Source organism: Homo sapiens, chromosome 18, assembly GCF_000001405.40.
Source record: "Homo sapiens chromosome 18, GRCh38.p14 Primary Assembly".
NCBI classification, from domain to species: Eukaryota; Metazoa; Chordata; class Mammalia; order Primates; family Hominidae; genus Homo; species Homo sapiens.
In genome coordinates, this window is record NC_000018.10 from 470,851 (window position 1) to 494,213 (window position 23,363).

The following is a 23,363-nucleotide window of genomic DNA, read 5'->3' on the forward strand; positions in this document are numbered from 1 at the left end:
TTGAAGGTTTGAGATCTTACATGTCAGCAATAATTTTACTTTTATATTTTCCCGTTTCACAGAATGAGAACGACATGTTAGAAAGGTTATTTCAAATATTAGAGATTACAGGGCATCTTCAGGCCTTGGGAATAAGAATGCAGTCTGGATTTCTGCCAGAACCTTTGCAGACTTCTGAGTTTGATTCTCTTGTTTTCCTGACAAGTCTAAATTCCTGCACCTTCTGCAACATGTGAAAGAAATTGATCTGTGCATGGAAATATTCACACTTATAAAAAAATACAACTACCAGAGTGTATAAAAAGAGGAGCATGTGTCAATCACGGCCAAATGTCAGTATTCAAAAACCTATAAAAGAATAAAAATAAAATATCAGAAGAAGCAGAAAGCGTTTATAGTGATGACTCAGACCAGGAGACCAATTTCACAATGTTTCATTGTGGCAAGAGCTGTATTCACTAAGATTTGGAACTTTCTCATTTTTTTTCTTTTTTTTTTTAGTTCCTCTTCCAAATTTTTTTTCTTCAAAATCTGCTTAAGACTATAGAGAATACTGAGCCAGAAAACAAAATGACTTTTGTTCATTCATTCACTTCTCTATTATGCTGATGTCTTGTTTTTGATGTCTTCTCTTTTTATAAACTGTCAAAAACTAGAACAGCACCTTGTAGCTTCATTTATAGCAAAGTTACAATTAGGAAGTAAACTTGTAATTATTTTATGAATAAATCGAATTTTTAAAGTTTATATAAAATAATTTTAAAAGTGAAACAAATTATAAATAATAGTATATCAGATTATATAAATAATAATATAAATTGTTGCTTTTTAATAATTTTGTATAACTTAGTATTACATTTGAAATATAATGATATTACATTATATATTATAGATATTATTGTTACAAGTAATAATAGTGGCTAAAGTGCTTAATTCCTCACCAACCATTCCTCCCCAAGTAATTAGTCCAAGCCAACCAGAGACAGCCCATTCCCTTTGTACATAACTAATTTCGAAAAGGACTTGTGACTCAACGTTGGTCAATGAGATGACAGGGAAAGTAGACAGAAGGCCCCTGGGAAAGCTGCTTTGCCTCTAAAAAAAAGGCACTGAAACAAAGCCTGGACACACTGTAGCCACCTTGTGCCCATTTGTGCTACTTTTCATAATACATACATTACATCCATCTTGTATGGATTATGTACGTATTCTAGGTGCAAGGCACTACTCTGAGTATTAACTCATTTAGTTCTCACAAGAACCCTACAGGCAGACAATACAGTTATCCCTGTATTCTAGAGGAGGACGCTCAGGCACAGAGAGGCTAAGTCGCCCAAGGCTACTCACTCGTAACTGGCAAAGCTGGAAACTGAACCCAGGCAGTCTGGCTCCAGCATACATTCTCTTAGCCACGATGACAGGTCAGCTCTCCATGGAAGCTGCTCCAACCCCTCAGTATGCTACCTTCCTTAAAAGTATTATTCTTTACTGATGGCCACCAACCCTTTCCACTTTTTAAAATGTCCTTCAAGAAAATAGACTCCTGGTCAGGCGTGGTGCCTCACATCTGCAATCTCAGCACTTTAGGAGGCTGGGGCCACGATGGTCATTTGAGGCCAGGAGTTTGAAACCAGCTTAGGAAACATAATGAGACCCCCATCTCTACAGAAAAAAATTTTTTTAAAAATTGGCCTAGAGTGGTAGCATGTGCTTGTGGTCCCAGCTACTTGGGAGGCTGAGGTGAGAGAATCGCCTAAGCCCAGAAGTCAAGGCTGCAGTGATGGCACCACTGCACTCCAGCCTGGGTGACAGAGTGAGGCCCTGTGACAAAAAAAAAAAAAAAAAAAAAAAAAGAAGAAGAAGAAGGAAAACAACAGAAGAAAAGAAAATAGACTCCTTTGGAATTCCCTGAACAAATTACTAGGCTGCTGCAGGGCACAGAATATAGGAGGGAGGGCAGTAAGATTTTGAGGGAGGGAGGGAATAAGGTGAGAAGGATCAGAGAGAATGAGGACTGCTGGGCTTCACAAGGGGAGACCTGGAGCACCTGGGAGAGAGGAAAGAGCAGAGTGGGAGGGGTGGGAGCAGTCAGCAGTTTAATAATAGCCACAATTTAGTGCAGACCTACTGTATACCTGGCCCCCATATATATTATGGTTTTATAATATCAATATATAGAATATCAATAATAAAATATCAATCCTCCAAAGAATACACACTATATACTTGTCATACCCATTTCACAGATACACAAAATGAGGCTTAGCTAGTAAAAGACAAAACCAGTATGTGAATCAGGACTGTCTCACTCGAAAGACTTGCTTCCTGGGCACCACCTCCCCCGCAAGCCCACAGTGTAGACTGAACACAAAGGGCCCCAGGGAGAACGTGAGAGAGAAAAAGAATCACTCCAGTTCACAACTTTGCAGAGGATCGTAGTTTTTTCTCAAAATCCATGGCCCAAGGACAGCTTTCCTCTTCCCAAGGGGCCTCCAAATGAACAGCTCAAATCTCTTTTTTTTATTTTTTTGAAACGGAGTTTCGCTCTGTTGCCCAGGCTGGAGTTCAGTGGCGTGATCTCGGCTCACTGCAACCTCCGCCTCCCAGGTTCAAGTGATTCTCCTGCCTCAGCCTCCCCGAGAAGCTGGGATTACAGGCGCGTGCCACAGCGCTCAGCTAATTTTGTATTTTTAGTAGAGACAGGGTTTCTCCACATTGGTCAGGCTAATCTCGAACCCCTGACCTCAGGTGATCCACCCGCCTCGGCCTCCCAAAGTGCTGGGATTACAGGCGTAAGCCACAGCGCCCGGCCTCAACTCATATCTTTTAAGAAACGTTTCAGAGTCTGTCTGTCTTAAGTTGCTTGCAGTTGCTACCAAAAGGGAAACTCTTTCCCACTCTACCCCTCAACAACAAACACTGGAAACAACCTAAATGTCTTCATGCTGTCTTAACCAAAACAGAGCTGAGTAGATTTTTTTTTTCTTTAACTTTTCCAAAAATAAAAACAAACCACATTCAGTTTCAACCCAATTGTTGGAAAAACAAATTATCCCACCCTTCTCCTTCCCACAGCCCTACCAGGATTCATAAGTGAATGAAAACCAGAGAGAGTGGGGAGGAGGAGTTATACTTTAAATGGTGGAAAATTCAGGGCTCCAGTGTTCAATATGACACATATTATGAAATTGTGAAATATAAGACCATATCAACAGCTGCTGATTTAGTGCAGGATCATTTATGATGACTTGCTTTTCCATTAAAAATTTTGGGATGCTGGAGTATGGCCGTGTCTGTGAGCTTCCCAGTCACAAGTAGAGCAGAAAGAACACTGAGGCCTGAAATCAGGCTTAACTCCAACATTGGCCATGCTACCAACCTTGGGAGCTTTGGCTCTCACCTGTAAACCACATATAATTCCCACCTCAAAGGGTTTCTGGGGGAATTCAATGAACTAATGGGTGGGAAATCACCTGGCACATAATAGATATCCACGAAGGAGCGTTTAATGGTTTCTTTCACACGACTTTCTCTTCACATGGTTTAAAACAGATCATAATCACATGGAATGTGGTGTTGAATCTTTTTTTTACTGATGGGCAGGAAAGACAAGGCAAGGAGGGTCTGACCTAACCAGTGAGAAGTCCTCTTGGCAGGAAGAAGGGAAACCTAGGTGCATGGTGTTGCCAAAGGAGCCTGTGGTTATCATGTATGGTGATAAAGATTATGAAATCTCCTCAGTTTATATAAAAAGCAGTGACAGCCAAGGAACTCCCTTTCTCGGCGTTTAGGAGCTCCACCTGCCTGCCTGGAAGCAGAGGATACAGGGGCCAGATAAAGAGCTACTCTGTGACTCCCCTTCCAGCTCTGTCAGCCTGAGAATCTCTTTTGCACTGAGTTCCTCACATGCCATTTTGACACCGAATTCTTATTAAATCAGAGGCCAGGGGTGGTGGCTACGCCTGTAATCCCTGCAGTTTTGGAGGCCAAGGCAGGCGGATCACCCAAGGTCAGGAGTTCAAGACCAGCCTGGCCAACAGGATAAAACCCCGTCTCTACTAAAAATACAAAAAAGTTAGCTGGGCTCGGTGGCGGCGCCTGTAGTCCCAGCTACTCAGGAGGCTGAGGCAGGAGAATCACTTGAACCCGGGAGGCGGAGGTTGCAGTGAGCCGAGATCGCGCCACTGCACTCCAGCCTGGGCGACAAGAGCTAAACTCCGTCTCAAAAATAAATAAATAAATAAATTCAGAAATACCAACTCAATTAGGATTTGTAAAACCACATAAATGAAACTCTCCCCTTAACTTGATGCAAATGGTTTTGGACATTTCAAAGAAACCCCACCAGGAGCACCGAGTTCCACTGTTCCCTTGCCCTTCACCTTCCTCCCAGTGTCAGTCCTGTGCCTCACTTAGAAATGTTTGGAAAAGGTGCCTCTGGAAGGACAGCCTCTCACTGTGCTTACTCAGTCGTTCCCCACAGGAAATGATGGAAATTCCTGGCATTCCCATCAGGGAATGGGTCAGCTTTCTGCAGGGCTGCGGTGAGAGGGATGCCTGGAGCCCTCCTTGTTGTCGGAGATAGATGGCTTCAAATCAACACCTTGTCCAAATTAGAAGATGAAGCCAGGCTTCCAGGAAGAGTCCCAGCAGAGGGGAGACAGGCAGCCTGCCCCGTAAAAGCCCAGCAACAAGAAGTAGAGGCATCCAAGTGTTTATCTTGAGCAGCTTCCCAAAGAGAGTTTGGCATCCTCTTGGTAAACTCTTCCAATCTCTTGGCATTAAAAGCAGACACTCGCCATGTGCCTCAGAAAGAACCTTCCTTTCTGGCTATACGGTTAAGCATATCCGTGCTGTGATTTTTCAGAAGCCTCAGTAGTCCTCTATGCTTTTAGACATTAGTTTCTCTAAACCTCTTGGCAAGAAACAGCTCAATAATTTAACTGGAGCCATGAATTTAAAGTTCCATGTGTTTATCTCTTTGGAGGCTGGGTTTGGAAGGAGGGAACGGTGATGGCAAGGCATGAGGCAGGGGCACTGAGAGGCAGGGCTGGGTTCCCTTCAACACAGATTTCTCAGGCTGCTTCGACATGCTCGGCACCGTGTGGGCCAAACTGTTAAAAATATACTTGCTAATCTGCAACTATTTTTTGAGGAAAGAAAGGGGAAAGTTAAAGCCTGGCTTGTTTGAAGCTATAGCTATAGAGAGACCTGTGAAGTTGTGGATAAACAAAACTATTCAAGGACATGCTTCAAAGAACACACTTACTGATCTCAGAGGAAAAGACATCTGATACCCCGTTTTGGACTGTAACCCCTAAATAATTTTTCAGCAATCCCCTTAGAACTCTCCCACTTAGTTTTTACCAAAAAAAGAAACTTGAATCTACTCCATAGAGAATGCTTCCTTTTACTTTCTTGTTACTGTTTCACAGTTTGCCATTATTCAGATCTTTTACTCTCATAGCTATTAATAATTCCTATGCCTGAGCCCCAAAGAAGCAATTCTGTCAAAGCTTTGTTTGTCAAATACAAACAACAAATGTTCCCAGCTGCCCACAGTTGCTCACTGGAAACCCTTAACTCCACCCGTGATTTTCACAGGCTGAACCATGTATCTCTTGCTTCTCCATCATCCTAACTTTGGACGTCTATTATCATACCGGATCAGATTCCAAAAATAACAGAAGAGAACCCATTGCGACCAATCAATGAAACAAAGTCAGTCTAGCGCCCCCGCCCCAGTGCAGAAAGGGAGAATGCAGGCTCCAGAGGGAGGGCCCAGGCCATGCAGGTGGTGCTGCCTCTCTTTCCCTTTCTGCTAAGCATAATAATAAAGGATTCTAGAGCCACGTGTGATGCTTTTAATGAAACAGGTAACTGGGAAATAAATAGACAAATATCACTTTCGTGGTAGTACATATCATATCTATGGAAAATAAAAATATACTGGTGCCTCATGTCCCAGAAAATGAACTCTGCCAAATTGTAACTATAGTTACGTCCCAATTAGCTCTGCATACTGAGGCCAAGAAACGCTGACCCTCAAAGCCTGATTAAAGCTTGAAAATGCTCACTTAATTAACCCTTCAAAGTCTCCCCTCATTGACGCTTTTGTCAGAGGAGCAAAGAAGTGACAAAACCATCAGACCAAACTCCATCTCCTCTTTAGACACCTGCCCAGAACTTTGGGAACGGGGCTGAACAAGCTTGGTATATGGAAAGACTGAAGAAAAACAGAAGACCTGGTTGAGACTAAAATGCAATAATGAATCCCTGAGTAAACAAGGGGTGACTGCACCAAATACAATACCATGCTAGATCACTGCAGAAGATCGTGCATTTTGCTCTTTACTGTAATAGTATGCTAAATTTGAAAAAGCACAATATTATTATGTAAACAGCCTTGACTTTATGTAGCAAACACCTCTGAATAATAACTCTCTATATGAATAACTTCAGAAACAGGCCCACCCAGTAGTGATTTGCTAAAACAATGGCTCCTTTGCCCTGTGAATAACTGACCTCGGGCTCTTCTGTAGTCTAAATTCGGGTTGTGTTTATCATACTTGCATAAGCAATATATACCTAAAATTAAACAATAAGTAAACCCTCTATGTCACCCAGTCTATTTTTGCAACTATAAAAGGCTACAATGTTACCGTCTTTAGAAGAAAATCACACCTTTACATTTCTTCAGGAGTAAGTTTTCAGGTCTGTCACACTTTGATATTCTGCAGTGGCTGTACCAAAACATTGAGAGAGTGCTAACAGCCCCAAATCTCGGGAGAGTGATAATACAGTCCTGTGTTTTTATAGTGTTGTAACTTCAAAGCACTTGTCCATCCATCTGACATCTCTCTTAACCTCACCAAAGCCCTGTGAGGTAGACTCACCTACGTTGGCAGGTGTCCCCCTGCTGGTTGGGCAGAGGCAGCATCTGACACCCACTGAGTTTAAGTAGCTGGTTTCAAGACACAGGAGTGATTAGGGGCAGGACCTAGAGGGTTGACATGTCTCTGGACACCTTCCACTTACCACCTTACTATCAACCTGCTGCATGGAAGGGACTTGGTCTTCCTTCAATGGTTAAAGTTTAACCATGCCTGAAGAAATGGGTTCTTGGGTCCTGCTGGATTCAACTGGCCACTTCTTAGGAACTGAAAACTCATTTACCTTCTAAAGAATCAGAGTCCTAGCCCTATAACCATGATGAGGCCTCCCCAGTGGAACCAGATTGGGTGTCCAGTCCACTTTAGGGTTCCAGAGCTGCAGGGTCCCCCTCCACAACACAGAAGTTGAAAGGTCAGCTCCACTTCACTTCACTGCTGAGCCCTTCCCCAAAACGACATTATCCTGAGAGTTAGAAGATCCAGAATCTTCTAACCCCAGCTCCAACTAACTTGCTTCAGCAAGGACTTAATCTATCTGGGCCTCAGCTCCCTTATAGGTGAAAACAAAGGGAGAGTTAAATCATCTAAGTTGGGTGCAGTGGCTCACGCCTGTAATCTCAGCATTTTGGGAGGCTGAGGCTAGAGGATTGCTTAAGCCCAGGAGTTCAAGACCAGCTGGGGCAAGATAGTAAGACATTGTCTCTACAAAAAATTTAAAAATTAGCTGGACATAGTGGCACATACCCGTAGGCCCAGCTACTTGAGAGGCTGAGGCAGGAGGATTGCTTGAGCCCAGGAATTCAAGGTTACAGTGAGCTACGATTGCACCACTGCACTCTAGCCTGAATGACAGAGCAAGACTCTGTCTCAAAACTAAAATAATAAAATAAAACACAAAAAACACCTCAAAGACTCTTCCATCTGCAAAGATCTACTCTGGTCCTATGCTGGATATCCATCGCCTTGCCTAGAGGCTGAATCCAAGAATTCTCAGCATCAGGAATGTCTCTTTCATAGACTATTCCAAGGTTTCCCATTTTAATTTCGTCCTTCTCTTCTATTTGTACCGCTTGGCATCACTCTCTTCCAGCCTCTGTTTGTGCTCTCTAATATTTGTAAGTGGTTACCATGTCTCCTGTGAGTCATCCGTTGCAACTCCCACGCATAAATGTACTTTTTTGTGTGTTTTTCACCAAATCCCCAACCCATCCAACTGGTAATATGGCTGAGAAATTTATAAAAAATTTTCTCTCAAGGTCACCCTTTCTAAAGAGACTTTCTCTCTTGGTTCTTCATATTTCTACTGATTGCCAAAACATGTAGGCATCTCCACATTTATTTTGCCTTATTTTGACAAGTTTGGTTTTCCTCTTGATTCCTATCTTTCTGTGTTTTTTTGTTTGTTTTCCTTTATAATTCTTGGTTTCATCTTCACTCCTACTGCTGCCTTCAGTGCGTCCCCCCCGGGAAAGAACACAGGACCATGGTCTCATCGCAGAAACATGGAATCGTGTAGATGGGGAACAGGAGCACGGAGGAGGGGCGACGGGGCTGCACGCGGGCCGCTCTGCCAGGGAACCAACGCAGGAGAGATGAGCTTGGTGCCACTGCATTCCTATTTTAAAGTCATATGTTTTCCCAGAAAGTAATGCAGACGTGTGTGTCCAGAAGGAAAAATGCTAAAGCAACGCGGGAGGCAGAGCAGCTGGGGGTTGTTAATTCTAATCAAAGTCCAGCCAGGACTTTTTTTAAGCAACAGGAAGTAGATTCATTCATTTTCATACTCTCTCTCTCTCTCTCTCTCTCTCACACACACACAGAAACGCACACACACACTCACTCACACACACTCTTTTCTCCTCTATCCTTCTCCATTTCCTCTGGCCAAGCACAGAAACAAGCTGTTGGGAAAATCCTCCAATCCCTGGAGCTGCCTTTGAAACTCTGCAATGACCACTGGCATTTCAAGGTCAAAGAGAAGCAAGGTCAAAGCAAAGAAGAGCACCAGGTGCAGCAGCCTGGGAGGCAGAGGGTGTGTATGAGTTTCCTGCGGCTGCTGTAAAAGGTTACCACGAACGTGCTGGCTTAAACAATACAGATTTCTCCTCTTACAGTTCTGGGGGCCAGCGGCCTAAAATCACCTTCAGCCAGCTGAAATATAAATATGGGGAGTATACAGCTCTCCCTCCTGAGGCTCTGAAGGAAGAATCCATTAATGCCCTTGCATTTTTAGCTTCTAATGGCCACCTATATTCCTTGACCAGAGAACATAACAAAAATCTCTGCTTCCATCCTCACATCACCTTCTCTCTGCAGTCACATCTCCCTCTGCCTCTCTCTTACAAGGACGCTTGTGATGGCTTTCAGGGCCCACCCAGGTAACCCAGGATCATCTCCCCATCTCAAGCTCTTCAACTTAATCACACCTACAAAGTCCTTTGTGCCACATAAGGTAACATTCAGGTTTCAGGATTCAGGGTGCTGTCACCTTTGGGGGCCATTCCCCAGCCTGCCACAGAGCCCCTGTGTCCAGGCAGATTCTTGGAAGAAGTCTCCCTCTCACTCATCCATGAACACTGGGTTAGGAGTGTAAGGCCTGAGCAAAGACGTTTTCTGAATAACAAAACTGAAAAATTTCAGGTATTTTGCTGTTGTCTTGTCACAGATTTGCCTTTCCCGCTACACTTTGTCTAGTAGGCTGTCTCTTTTCCATTCAGCAGACCCATGAACATCCCATCACTTCCCCATGCCTGGGTGCAGCTCCTGTCCCATGGCCCCTCAGAATTGTGAGAAACCCTCCCCCTGGGACACAGACACTCACTTTCCAACCAAAATTGGACCTCAGAGCCACAAACACCCATGTGCATGAAGGGCCTGCCAGTGGCCTGCCAATGGTCTCTGAGGGTTCGTGGCTGCATCCCAGGTTGACCACTGAGAAGGAACACAGCTTTGTTAGGACTCACCAAACCGCTTGTAACCGAAGGATTGCACCTCCTCCTCCTCTGCGAAGTCGTCTGTGAGAGAAGAAGAGACACGATGTTAATCCTGGCAAGGGGCACAGAAGCAGAGGGTGGGGCAGGATGCGACCTGCTTCATCGCCCCTGCTTGTCACAGCAGCTTTCCTTCTGCTCGTGGATCGCACCAGGCTTTCTGGAAGAGGCGGCAGGGGTCTCCACCCTGGCTGCTCCTGCTGCTTGGGATGCACTTCCTCTGTTCCTAATGTGACTCCTTCGAATTCAGGTCTTAGCTAAAGTGCGACCCTTCGAGATGCCTTTCTGGACCACCCGGCCACTCCCTGCCACGCTACACTAATTCAATGTTTCTCTCTGATATCTTCCTCACATGTGTGCGTGAATTTACTGTTGTCATCATGCTTCCTGTGAACAGAAACTTTTTCTGCTCACAGAAATAATCGACCGCCAAAGGGGTTAAGTTATCTTTAGGCAACTCACCCTAAAGCCCCTGTTTTTAAATGTCTGGGCTCTGGGGTCATCTCCTTCACTAACTGTTGCCTCTCAGGAGCCGACATAACTCCTGCAGTGACAACCAAACCCTTCCCACCCTCCTTCCGATGGGTAACTGGGACCAACCGATGGTTTCGCAGTAAATGTGTTTCAAAAGGCAGCCTTACTGTGGAAATTCCTAAATGCATACCCACCATGGAAAGAAGAGAGATGTCGGCCGGGCGCAGTGGCTCATGGCTGTAATCCCAGGACTTTGGGAGGCCAAGGTGGGCAGATCACCTGAGGTCAGGAGTTCGAGCCCAGCCTGGCCAACATGGTGAAACCCCATCTCTACTAAAAATACAAAATTAGCCAGATGTGGTGGCACGTGCCTGTAATCCCAGCTACTTGAAAGGCTGAGGTAGGAGAATCGCTTGAACCTGGGAGGCTGAGGTTGCAGTGAGCTAAGATCGTGCCATTGAACTCCAGCCTGGGCAACAAGAATGAAACTACACCTCCAAAAAAAAAAGAGAGGGAGAGATGTTTTATCACCCAACCTTTCTACCAAAAGACCTAAAATCTCATTCCTAAAGTAGACATGAGATTCCTTATTACATCTCTAAAGAACTGCTCATTTACAGTTCTGCCAGGTAAAGGTCCAGGAAGGGCAAGCACTGTGCAGACACAATTTCATATTAATTGCACAACTAAAGGACACTTTTTTTTTTCTTTCCAAATTTTATTTTAGGTTCCGGGGGTACATGTGCATGTCTGCTACATGGGTAAATTGTGGGTTGTGGGGGTTTGGTGGACAGATTCTTTCATCACCCACGTAGTGAGCATAGCACCCGACACGTAGTTTTTCAATTCCCATCCTCCTCTCACCCTTCATCCACAAGTAGGCCCCAGTGGCTACTGTCCAGGAGGAACACTTTTTTTTTTTTTTTGAGATGGAATATCGCTCTGTTGCTCAGGCTGAAGTGCAGTGGCGCGATCTCGGCTCACTGCAACCTCCACCTCCTGGGTTCAAGTGATTCTCCTGCCTCAGCCTTCTGAGGCTGGGATTACAGGCACCCGCCACTACCCTCCGCTAATTTTTGTAATTTCAGTAGAGATGAGGTTTCACCATATTGGTCAGGCTGGTCTCAAACTCCTGACCTTAGGTGATCCACCCACCTCAGCCTCCCAAAGTGCTGGGATTACAGGCATGAGCCACCGTGCCCGGCCAACACTTTTTGATGACAAGTAAGAGGTGCCAAAGCCAGGCCTTTCTAGGGGACCCTGTCTGACTGGGTCCATTACTGCCCCAGCACACAACTTTCTCTCACAGGCAACTCAGCTCAAAGGCATGTTGTTAGCACTCACCATGACAGAGACTGCCAGGCTGTGGCTTCAGAGGTGAGTAAGTCATGGTCCTTTATCTTGACTTTCTTTTGTTTTTTGAGATAGAATTTTGTTCTTGTCGCCCAGGCTGGAGTGCAGTGGTGTGATCTTGGCTCACTGCAACCTCCGCCTCCTGGGTTCAAGCGATTCTCCTGCCTCAGCCTCCCAAGTAACTGGGATTGCAGGCGCCCACTACCACGCCCAGCTAATTCTTTGTATTTTTAGTAGAGATGGGGTTTCACCATGTTGGGCAGGCTGGTCTCGAACTCCTGACCTCAGGTGATCCGCCCGCCTCGGCCTCCCAAAGTGCTGGGACTACAGATGTGAGCTACCGTGCCCACCCAATCTTGGCTTTCAAGAAAGAGAGGCATATAGGGGAAATGAAGCCTCTGTGATAGTCTTTTTCAATCCCCAAAAGAGACATGATCTAGCTATATCTGAACCTTGAAATGTTATGGAGAACCCAAGATGTATGCTATCTATAAACACAATGTGGTGAAGCTCAGAATACTTGTTTGTTACAATGTATTTATAAAATCACATGTGATGCTGTAGCGTGGTGGCTCATGCCTGTAATCCCAGCACTTTAGGAGGTTGAGGCGGGTGGATCACCTGAGGTCAGGAGTTTGAGGCCAGCCTGGCCAACATGGCGAAACCCCATCTCTACTAAAAATATAAAAATTAGCCGGGCGTGGTGGCAGGTGCCTGTAATCCCCGCTACTTGGGAGGCTGAGGCAGAATCACTTGAATCCAGGAGGTGGAGTTTGCAGTGAGCCAAGATCACGCCAACTACACTCCAGCCTGAGCGACAGAGTGTGGGACTCCGTCTCAAAAAAAAAAAAAAAAAATCACATGTGAGACAGTGGTTATTTCTAACAGAAAACAGAGAGGTGTGATATCTTTGTATTTCACCATTGTCTCCTTATTCTGCAGAAAGGGAAGAGATCTTGGTTTGGAATCTAGAAGGCCAGGTATTTATACTCAAAGTGGTTTTCTTATGGCAGGGATTTAAGCTTTAATTCTTTCTGAATGGAAGAACTTGCCTACAACCAAGAGAACAGCATCTTTTTCTCTGATTCAGTGATTGGCTACCTCCACAAACACACATCAAGTCCATGCTCTGTTCCTGCTTTACTTACTAATCTGTCCTATTAATGCTTGATGTGGTAATCTGTCGTGTTAATGGCTGCAGCCTCGTCTATTCTCCATTTAAGAGAAACGCTGACCTGCTGCGTCTGCTTAGATATCCATTCGTTTGTTTTTTCATTCATTCAATAAACACATGCTTACAGCCTAGCGGAGTTGATGAGACATGAATATCAGCATCAGTGGTACCCAGACATCCGTGCCCTTGGCCAGCTCTATCCTTTCCACCACTGTGCCACCTCTGCAGCAGAATCCACTCACACTTAGGCACTGTGGGCCACAGAAACATCATTGAAGATGTCACAGTGGAAACAAGAAGGGAGGTTCATGCTGCACCCTTGATAGCAAACAGCTTCAAATTTCCCATTAGACATGTCTATTCTCCCCCAAAAGCTTCATTTCAGCAGGGCTACCATTAGCTTGTTTGTTTGTTTGTTTTCGTTTCCCTCTCTAATCTTTTTCCCATGCAGCATTTAGTCTGACTGACTTCTCTCTCCTTCCTGAAATTTCCCTGGGAACTTCAAATTTCACATATTTTTGTTATTAAAGCAATTTAGCTGTGTCCTGCTTCTACCTCCAAATTAACATGTCCAAACCCATGAGGAGTTCAAGAAAACAAAGGCCTCACAGGCCACCCATCATAAAGCACAGGGTGGGTTCCCTGCTTCTCATCTTAACCCTCATCCGAAAAGGATTAGGGATTCTTGTAACAGCCACTAAAAGAATAAAATAGTCTCTATCTCATCCAACTCTAAAATTAGAGAGAAAATCACAAGAGACATGAGGGGTACAAGTTTAAGTTACCACACATTACTTCTGACTGCAATTATACAGAAGTGCCTTAAATCAGTCTCTCTCAATGTTTTTGTTTTTTGGGGGCGAGGATAGAGATTGGAAAACACTGCATATTACATCCCTTTCTTGGAAATTCATAATGGTTTTGGAACCACCAGAGACTGTGAGATATGCAAAGAGAAGAAAAAAAATGGTTAACTTTGTTTTAGTCAATGTTTTCAAAAGTTGACTTTAGAATCCTCTTTTGCTACCCTTAAGAGTTGGGTGGATTCAGGGCAGAAAAAGCTTGGTGCACAGTTTACTCGCTTAGGTGTTCCCCCAGGCCCACTCCCAGATGTTCCCAGCTGCTCAGTTAGCAAACAGCTGATTCAGGCTGATAGAACAGTTGGGTGTTTAGGGACTTGAGGAAGAGGAAGAGGGTAAAGCTGGTGGGGCTTGTGGTTGTGGAGATGATTTACATCATGCAACCATAGCCACGGGAAAGAGAATGAGTAGTCAGTGTCCCCATTGACTAAAACATGCTAGAGGGCAGAAGGCTATGCTAGGGCCCACAAGGGCTGACAGGCAGGTTTTCATGAAGACAAATAGCCTGATACAATGTGCAATGCTACATTCTGTCCTCAAAACCTTTTCCTCACACCATATAGACCCAAGCTCAATGTGTTGTATCCCAGATTGTCTTTACAGTATCGGGGCCTGCAAAAGTGATGTACTCAGATAAGGAGATTCTTCTGAGGTCAGTCTCTTTAGCAACTTAATACTTCCCAATGTCTATCTCTGACAGTCATAGCCACACAACTGCCACACTCCTACATGAATAAGGACTTGGTTAAGATTTAAGACCTCTAAGTCCTGCAGTGGTCATAACTTGATCCCTGTTTCTGACAGCCATCTGTCTGCGGGGAAGAAGCAACCTTAACATATTAAATGACAGAAAGTGTTTAAGATTTATTCTGTCTTAAGCTCATATTTTCTTGGCTCCCACAGCTGAACTTTTGCATTTTCATTTTAATCCTACAGGCTATGTTATATTTTGCTTACCTATTTTGAAATGTGATTTTTATTTATCTTTTTCTACTTTCCTCAGTAACTGGCACAGAGCCACATTGGGGCCAGAGATTTTATGACAGAGAATGTTGAACAGAATTTGGCTGCTGATTTATTCTTTGCACCTTGCTATTTCAGAGAACCATGAGTTCAAGTGAAGTTTGGTTCTGTTGGCTTAGAGCTGAGAGTCATCCACATTAACATGTTCCAGTCAATCTGTGGACCAAGTTGGGCACTAGCACTACAGTCAGAATTTACCTCTCATTCTTGTATGCTCCCTTGTATCAGTGTGACAGCACTTAACTCTATCTGCCTTATATCCAGTTCTGGTTCGGACTCCTCCATATGGAAAGCCATTTAAAGACAGGAAACTCATCACATTGTACCCTCAACAACTAACACATTTATGATGCATGATAGGCACTGAACAGTAGTTGTTGAAAATTAAGGAAATTAGAGTTATACATGTCACTCTCTTTCCCACTAGTTCATGAATTCCTAAAGGAAAAAGATAAAGTCTTTCCCTTTTTGCATACTCACCATGTTTGCAGAAGAGAGGAGACTAATATACTTAGTACCTGCTGTATGCCAGCTATTTCACATTTTACTATGTTTCTTTCTTTCTTTCTCTTTTTCTTTTCTTTTTGAGACAGAATCTTGCTCTGTCATCCAGGCTGGAGTGCAGTGGAACCATCTCAGCTCACTGCAACCTCTGCCTCCCAGGTTCAAGCAATCCTCCCACCTCAGCCTCAGAGTAGCTGGGATTACAGGCCTGCGCCATTATGCCTGCCTAATTTCTGTATGTTTAGTAGAGATGGAGTTTTGCCATGTTGGTCAGGCTGGCCTCAAACTCCTGGTCTCGAGTGATCTGCCTGCCTCAGCCTCCCAAAGTGCTGGGATTACAGGTGTGAGCCACCACACCTGGCTGCATTTTATTATGTTTCTGTTTTACAGATGAGAAAACCAAGGGTCAGAGAAATTACATTAATTTGACCCAAGGTCTCACAGCTTATGAGTGGCCAGATCAAGAGGAAGACACAGGTCTGTGGGACTCAGGGGTTCCACACCATGATGGTGACTGACCCGTACACTCATGAAACTGAAGCCTGTGCTAGCAGCCGGGAAAGCTAAGAGGCAATGATTGATATTGCAGAATCCTGAACAGGTTTAGGAATTTGGGAATAAAGGTGAGGCTAAAATAGGAGGACTGTTGGAACATAAGTTTAAGAAGCAGTTGGCTATAACCAAAAAGATAGACAACAAGTGTTGGCAAAGATAGGGAGAAATCAGAACCCTCATATGCTGTTGGTGGGAATGTAAAATGGTGCAGCCACCATGGAAAACAGTCTGGCTGTTTCTCAAAAAGTTAAACATAAAGTTACCATACAATCCAGCAATTCTGCTCCTAGGTTTATACCTACGAGAAATAAAAACATATGTCCATACAAAAATCTGCACCTGAATGTTTGTAGCAGCATTATTCATAACAGCAAAAAAAGGGGGGGAGACAAGCCAAAGGTTCACTGACTGATAAATGGATAAACTGTGGTATGTCTATACAGTGGAATATTATTCAGCAATAAAAAATGAAGCACTGATGCATACTACAATACAGATAAATCTCAAAAACATTATGCTAAGTAAAAGAGGCCAGTCACAAAAAAAACACACACACATTGTGTGATTCAATTTATATGAAATGTTTACATTAGCAAAGTCTAGATTCAGAAAGCAATTAATGTTTGCCTAGGGCTGGTGGTTTTGAGGGGAACTGAGGAGTGACTGTTAGTGGGTAGAGGTTTCTTTTTAGGGTGGTGAAACTTCTGAAATTGATTATAATGATGAATAAAAAATATGTGAATATAACAAAAAAACATTGAATTGTACACGTTAAGTGGATGATTTGTATAGTATGTGAAAAAAAGAGAAGGAGTTGGAGCTGCCCACCCAAAGAGCTGTGTGACTGCCCCTCCCTAACCACAGCAGAAGATTCAAGGTTTACTACTTGGAAACATTAAAACAAAAGTTCTCTTGTCTAGTGGACACCGGGAACAGGAAATGAGAGGAACTGTAATGAAATCAGGGGAAAGGCAAAAGTTTACCAACTGAATGCTCAGACCCTGAGTCCTCTTCTCCCACTTAGCCAGAAAGTCCCCTCCATGGTAAAGATTAGAAGGTTCTTCTCTGGGGAATTTGACCAACTAATAAAAAAATAAACTAATGGTTCTAATTCCAGGAGGTTCCCAGTGGAACAGCCCAACCAGGTAAACTTAGAGTGATGGTCACAATTCACAAAATCCACCAGCACAAAAGTTTCCAATTGACCTGTGTAATGTTCTGCTCTTAAATAAGACAGTTGAGGGTCATCAGACAACTGATACAACCTCTAACATGAAAAGACAAAGATGAAAATAAAGAAACCAGATAAAGCAATTGAGAGGAAATCTACATTATGCAGGAAAATTAATACCTCAGAAAAAAACAAATACCATTAATACACTTACAGAGATAAGAGAAAATAATATATCTGGAAAACAGGATGCTATAAAAAAGCAACCACCAGAGAAAAAGGGCTGGGCACGGTGGCTGACACCTGTAATCCCAGCACTTTGGGAGGCTGAGGCAGGTGGATCACTTGAGGTCATGAGTTTGAGACCAGCCTGGCCAACATGGTGAAACCTCGTCTCTACTAAAAATACAAAAATTAGCCGGGCATAGTGATACATACCTGTAATCCCAATTACTAGGGAGGCTGAGGCAGGAGAATCACTTGAACCCGGGAGGCGGAAGTTGCAGTGATCTGAGATAGCACCACTGCTCTCCAGACTGGGTGACAGAGCGTGACTCCATCTCAAAAAAGAGAAAAAGAAAGAACTTTTGGAAATTAAAAAATATGATCACAGAAATAAATCTCAATGGAAGGGCTGGAAGATGGAGTCAAAATATTACAGAAAGTAGAATAAAGGCATATAAATAGAAAAAAGTAAAAATAAGGAAAAATTAGAAAATCAATTTAGAGGCTAGGTGCAGTGGCTCACTGGGATCACTTTGCAGCCCATAATCCCAGCACTTTGGGAGGTCAAGGCAGGCGGATCACCTGAGGTCAGGAGTTCAAGACCAGCCTGGCCAACATGGTGAAACCCCGTCTCTACTAAAAATACAAAAATTCGCTGGGCGTGCTGGTGTGCACCTGTAATACCAGCTACTCGGGAGGCTGAGGCAGGAGAATTGCTTGAACCTGGGAGGCAGAGGTTGCAATGAGCTGAGATTGTGTCACTGCACTCCAGCCTAGGCGACAGAGCAAGACTCTGTTTCAAAAAAAAGAAAAAAAAAAGAAAAGAAAATCAATTTAGAGGGTCCAATGTTCATATAACAGGTGTTTCCCGGAAAAAGAACAGAGGGAGGGAAGCACTGGAGGAGTAAGTGAACCACATTTCCCAGCATTGAAGGACATGAGTTTCCAGGATGAATGGGCCCATCACTACCTAGAACAAAGAAAGGAAAGACAGCCACTCCAAGGCTCATCATCATAAAATTTCAGAACACTGAAGACAAAAATAAAAGCCTAAAAGCTTCCAGACAGAGGAAAAAAACAGATCATTTATAAGAATTTTACAAAGAAAAAAAGATCAGCTTCACATTTAGCAGCAAAGTTGGAAGCTAAAGTAAATACAGCAGTGCTTTCGAAATTCTAAGGATAAATTATTTCCAATATAGAATGCTCTCAGTTCAATGAGGGGGTAACATAAAGACCTTTGCAGACCAGCAGAATCCCCAAAAATGTACATCCCACACACACTTGTCTCAGGAAGTTACTGGAGAATGCACTGCACTAAAATAAGCAACAAACCCAGTGTGTGTGCATGTGTCTGAGTGTGTGCATGTCTGGGTGTGTCTGTGTGTATATATCCTAACCTAACTCTAACTCTCAGCTGGTCAGAATGCTCCAGAAAAGATTTCTTCGAGAAGATAGAAATGAAAGAATTCCTAATATGTTTGAACACACAGAGGAGAGATTTGGGAAAGTAGAAGGGACTTGGGAGATGAATAATGATGTATATATGAGGAGCTAAAATAGCAAGAGGATTATTAACTTCGTGGGGGGGAAACAAAAAGCTATGCAAGAAACATGACTCAGCTGTGAGTCGCACTGACATTGTCACAATAATATCAACACTGAATGTGGATCTGAGATTACGCTGTAACTGTATTAGAAAGGTGGACAGGAACAGGAGATACCTGCAAGGGTTGTTAGGGGAAGGTAAAAGGTGAAAGAGAACAAAACCCTCTTCTGCTATAAAAGGAAGTCTGTATATAATACTTAAGATGAAAAAAAAGTGAAGCAAGAGCACTGTAAGCATGTCACGGAGAGATACGGGGGCCATGGCAGATCATCGTCATAAAGGACCACCAGCAATTCCTTCCAGCCCTCCATGCGCAAGTCCACTTCCTTCCCCTGGAATCTGGGCAGGCCCCATGACCTGCTCTGTCCCATGGAATGTGGCGGAAGTGGGAGTGGGTGGCTCCAGGGCCCTGGCCTTAGAGGCCTTTCAGCTTCTGACTACACTCTTGGTAGCCAGTGGCTCTGTGAAAAGTTCACCTCCCCTGCTGAACTAGAGGCCACCTGGAGAGAGAGAATCACTGGAGGATGAGAGCAGGGAAAACGTGAGACCAGCCAGGGAGCCCTCAGCCATTCCGGCCACCCCCAGTAATTCTCCAGGCTCCTGAGGGCAGCCACGTGTCCAGTCCAGGCTGAATTGCAGAATTGTGAGCAAAAAACCAGCTGCTGTTCTAAGCTACAGGGTTTCGGGATGGTTTTTTAGGCATTAGCAGGTAACTGAAAGAGGTGTAAATGCCACAAGAAAATGGTAAAAAAAGTTATCAAGAGGTTACCTCTGGGGAATGGAAAATGAAATGAAGGTGGCCTGGGTAGGAAACTGCTGTTTTTCAGAATTTCAGGAATTTCAGGAAACCTACGACATTATCTGACTCTTTAAACTATGTACATCTCTAACTTTGATAAGAAATAATGTAAAACAAGCAAAATAAGATTATATGAATGGAAAAGTCAGACAGACAAAAATAAAAGCATTCAGGTCCAACAGATAACCAGCACTGATAACCAGATAACCAGAAAATGCCCCCAAAGAGCCAGAGTGTGGAGTTCAACCTGAAACCACAGAAGACGCAGTTTGAAGCTGGAGCCTTCAATACTTGACACAAAGCAGGTTTCCAACAAATGCCAAACCAAACATCATAGCAAATGCAGACATTTTTAGGAGCCAGCCTGAAGGACCGTGGACAGGGACTAGGCTGAAGTTAGACTTCTCTTCCATGCTGGCCCACTGGCGCTGTCTACATATGAGTACCCATTGGTTGCTCTATCGTGTTTAGACCAGGGTCCATTCCCAGCTCTTGTACATTTGTCATTACTCTTAGAACAAAATGGTATGGTATCACTGGTTGTTAAAATATTTAAGTGCTTCCAAACCAGCTGGTTGAAGAACAATGGCCTCTGCTCTGAGCATTTCTGCAAGCTGTCCCTGTTTCTACTGTCACCACCACCCACTGTAGCAGGTCCTTGCCCCTGTATCCCTGGGGCCATCAGGACCCCTGAGTCTACAGTCACTCTCCACTGACCAGTGCTCCAAGGAGTTGCTTTCATATGGGAATGGTGGCTTCCACAGTGTGTCACCTGGGTTGCTAAATATTTGGAATGTCCCCTTGATGTTGCTGTGATATCTGGAAGACTTCTTTCCTAACACCAGAGGCTGATAGAATTAATGGTAATGTGTGGGCTTTGAAATTCAAAGACCTGGGTTTGAAGACTGGCTCCACCTTGTAATAGCAATAAGCTCATGTCTGCCTCTCAGTCTCCTATAAGCTGGAACCAATGATTCCTATCTCACACATTTTGGGGAGGGAAATGTGAACTGACACATGGAAAACATCCAACACATACCATCTGCTTAATAAATATGAATTTTCTTTGAAGTAAGAGGACAGAGGCAGTGGTAAAAGCTACTATGCCTTAAGGTCCAAAATAAATATCCTAGAACTTTAATCATCTGGCTTCAAAAGACACAAAACTCCATTCTGAGGTGACTATTTGGGGGAAGGACCAACAGGAAAGCTTGATGAGCAAAAGAGTAATGCGTGCTGCAGGTTCTATTTGGGCTTCAGCAAATTGGCACTGAAGTACCTGGTTGATATTGATGAAAATTTATCTTAACGTATTTTGGGCTGTAAAAACTGAAGAAAGGTGTCCTTTTATCTTGATATGTCCCTAAGCACAGTATCGGTAATATTTGCCCTGGTTTTATAGCTTTACAAATGTAAACCTGGCTCCCCGCATGGTTTCCTTTTTCCAGTCTTGGCATTTCTGGAACACAGTTATTATGTATTCTCCTGGTGAATGAACTCAATGCAGCGTAACAAAGTATCTGAGGTTCAGGATATTTTGTAGGGGGGTAATTAGATCGGCCTTCCATTCAACTGTTTCACTCCAAATGGATGAAGGAATCTGTAGCAGTTTAAATACTTGTAGATTATTTTAAAGTATCACAGGAGATTCATTTTGATTACTCAGCTGCTTACTGAATTTGTTTTGCAACAATGGGATCACTTTTGATTCAATTGCACAGTTTTTTCAAGTCAAAAGTCAAAATTATAGACATAAAATGACTCCAATTTCTGGCACAACTTGCAATTCTGATGCTTGTAAAAATGGCAGATACTTGCTTTTAGAATAAAGAGGCATGGGTACCCTATTCCTTCCTTTACAGTCTAACAAAACTGAGAAAGGGTGTTTTTGTTACTTTTACCCCTAAGTTGGCAGTGGGGGCTAAATCAGATTTCCCCACAGCCACCAACTGCAAGAACTTAGAAGTAATCAGTAAGTACGACATCCAAAACCTTGACATCTGCATTCATCATTCATAGGTGATTATGGTGGAGGTGATGCACTTCCCTTTCTTCTATGAGGAAAATTCTCATCCAGTCATTTTAATCATGTTAATAAGAGAGTCAGAATGAGGCCTTGAATCTCTGCCTTAAATTGAATAAGGGCCTTGGCAGGGCCTCAAATACATGGGTGATTTGGCAAGAAAAACTAATGCTGTCCATTTCTCTGGAGACAAAAAAAAAAAGAGGTCTTTGGTTTAAAAATAACACCGATACGTCTTTTTGTTTTGAAATCCATTAACGTTGTTTAGATTATCTAAACAATTATGCCAAAGCAATATACTATAATTATTTACAAATGTTGGACCAACGTTTTGAGTTTAAGAGACACAATTCAAGAAGACTCTGAATTTGGTTTCCTCTCACCTCCCACACTGAAATGTCACACTTAAGAGATTTCAGGTCAGGCACGGTGGCTCATGCCTGTAATCCCAGCACTTTGGAGGCTGAGGCGGGCAGATCACTTGAGGCTAGGAGTTTGAGACGAGCCTGAGCAACATAGCAAAACCCTGTCTCTACAAAACATACAAAAATTAGTTGGCCATGGTGGCACGCACCTGTACTCAGTCCCAGCTACTTGGGAGGCTGAGGCAGGAGAATCGCTCGAACCCAAGAGACAGAGGTTACAGTGAGCCAAGACTGTGCCACTGCTCAAGGGATCCTCCCACCTCAGTCTCCCAAGTAGCTGGGACTATAGCCACTCACCACCGCACCCATTAAATTTTCTGTGGAGACAGGATCTTGCTGTGTTGATCTGGCTGATCTCAAACTCCTGGCCTCAAGCAACCCTCCCATCTTGGCCTCCCAAAGCACTGAAATTATAAGCACGAGTCATCAGGCTCAGCCCTCCTCTCTTTTAAGACATTTTTCTTTAATGTTGCTTGCCCTATTAATGTAATATGAAATATAATTCAAGATATGAAATATAATGTAATCTGAAATATGAACTATAATTCAAATCTCTCCTGCAAATGAAAATGTCCCTGTCTTCAGCCAGATTATCTGAACCTCAAACAGGGCATGTTCTACTCTCTACTTTGGATTCCAGTTGTTTACGCATAAGTCTTGTCTTGTCTACCAGACTGCAAGCTCCATGAGCACAGAAGCTATATTTTATTCATTTTATTTGGCATTTCTAGAGGGCCTTGCACACAGAAAGTTAATACCAAATATTTGTTTAAAGAATAAATGAAGGCTAGTTAGAACTTGGTGGCCCAATTATAAATAATAAAACAGAAATATGACAGCTTAATGGAAAACTAATACTACTGATGAAATAGACATGACATCATATGGTTTAAAAACATACTTATACATACATCTGTCCGAATACTTATTTAGAGACAAACTTGTTTAATGTTGTGATTCCTTGATGTCATATCCTTACTGGATAAAACCGGACACTGGATTTGAAACACAGATCTTTAAAAATATCATGTCATCAGTAGGCACGTGAGCAATAGTACTAAAAAAAAAACAGTGCTCCTAGGTAATCTAAATATACTTACACATATTTATCAATTTTCTACCACTACTATAACAAATAGAAAAACTGTTTCATTACTACAATTACAAACTTCACTTTGGGAATTATCCCTGCATTTTTTATGATGATAGCAGTGACGGCAGCTGGAATGCAACCAATACTAATACTTCCCCACGTGGAGCACAACTCACTCCTTCTATCCCTGAG

General features: G+C 43.3%; 1 protein-coding gene across 2 annotated transcripts in view; it reads right to left on the reverse strand.

Annotated features, from left to right (window-relative positions):
• The window catches only part of COLEC12 (collectin subfamily member 12), a 183,965-nt gene that overhangs the window by 154,114 nt on the left and 6,488 nt on the right, over positions 1-23,363 (reverse strand). Inside the window, exon 2 of one of the 2 annotated variants that reach the window (NM_130386.3) lies at positions 9,857-9,907. The exons of the other annotated variant lie outside the window; for it this stretch is intronic. Within the exon in view, the coding sequence (NP_569057.2) occupies positions 9,857-9,907 (51 nt within the window). The remainder of the gene's footprint in view (positions 1-9,856; positions 9,908-23,363) is intronic. 2 annotated transcript variants of the gene reach the window in all.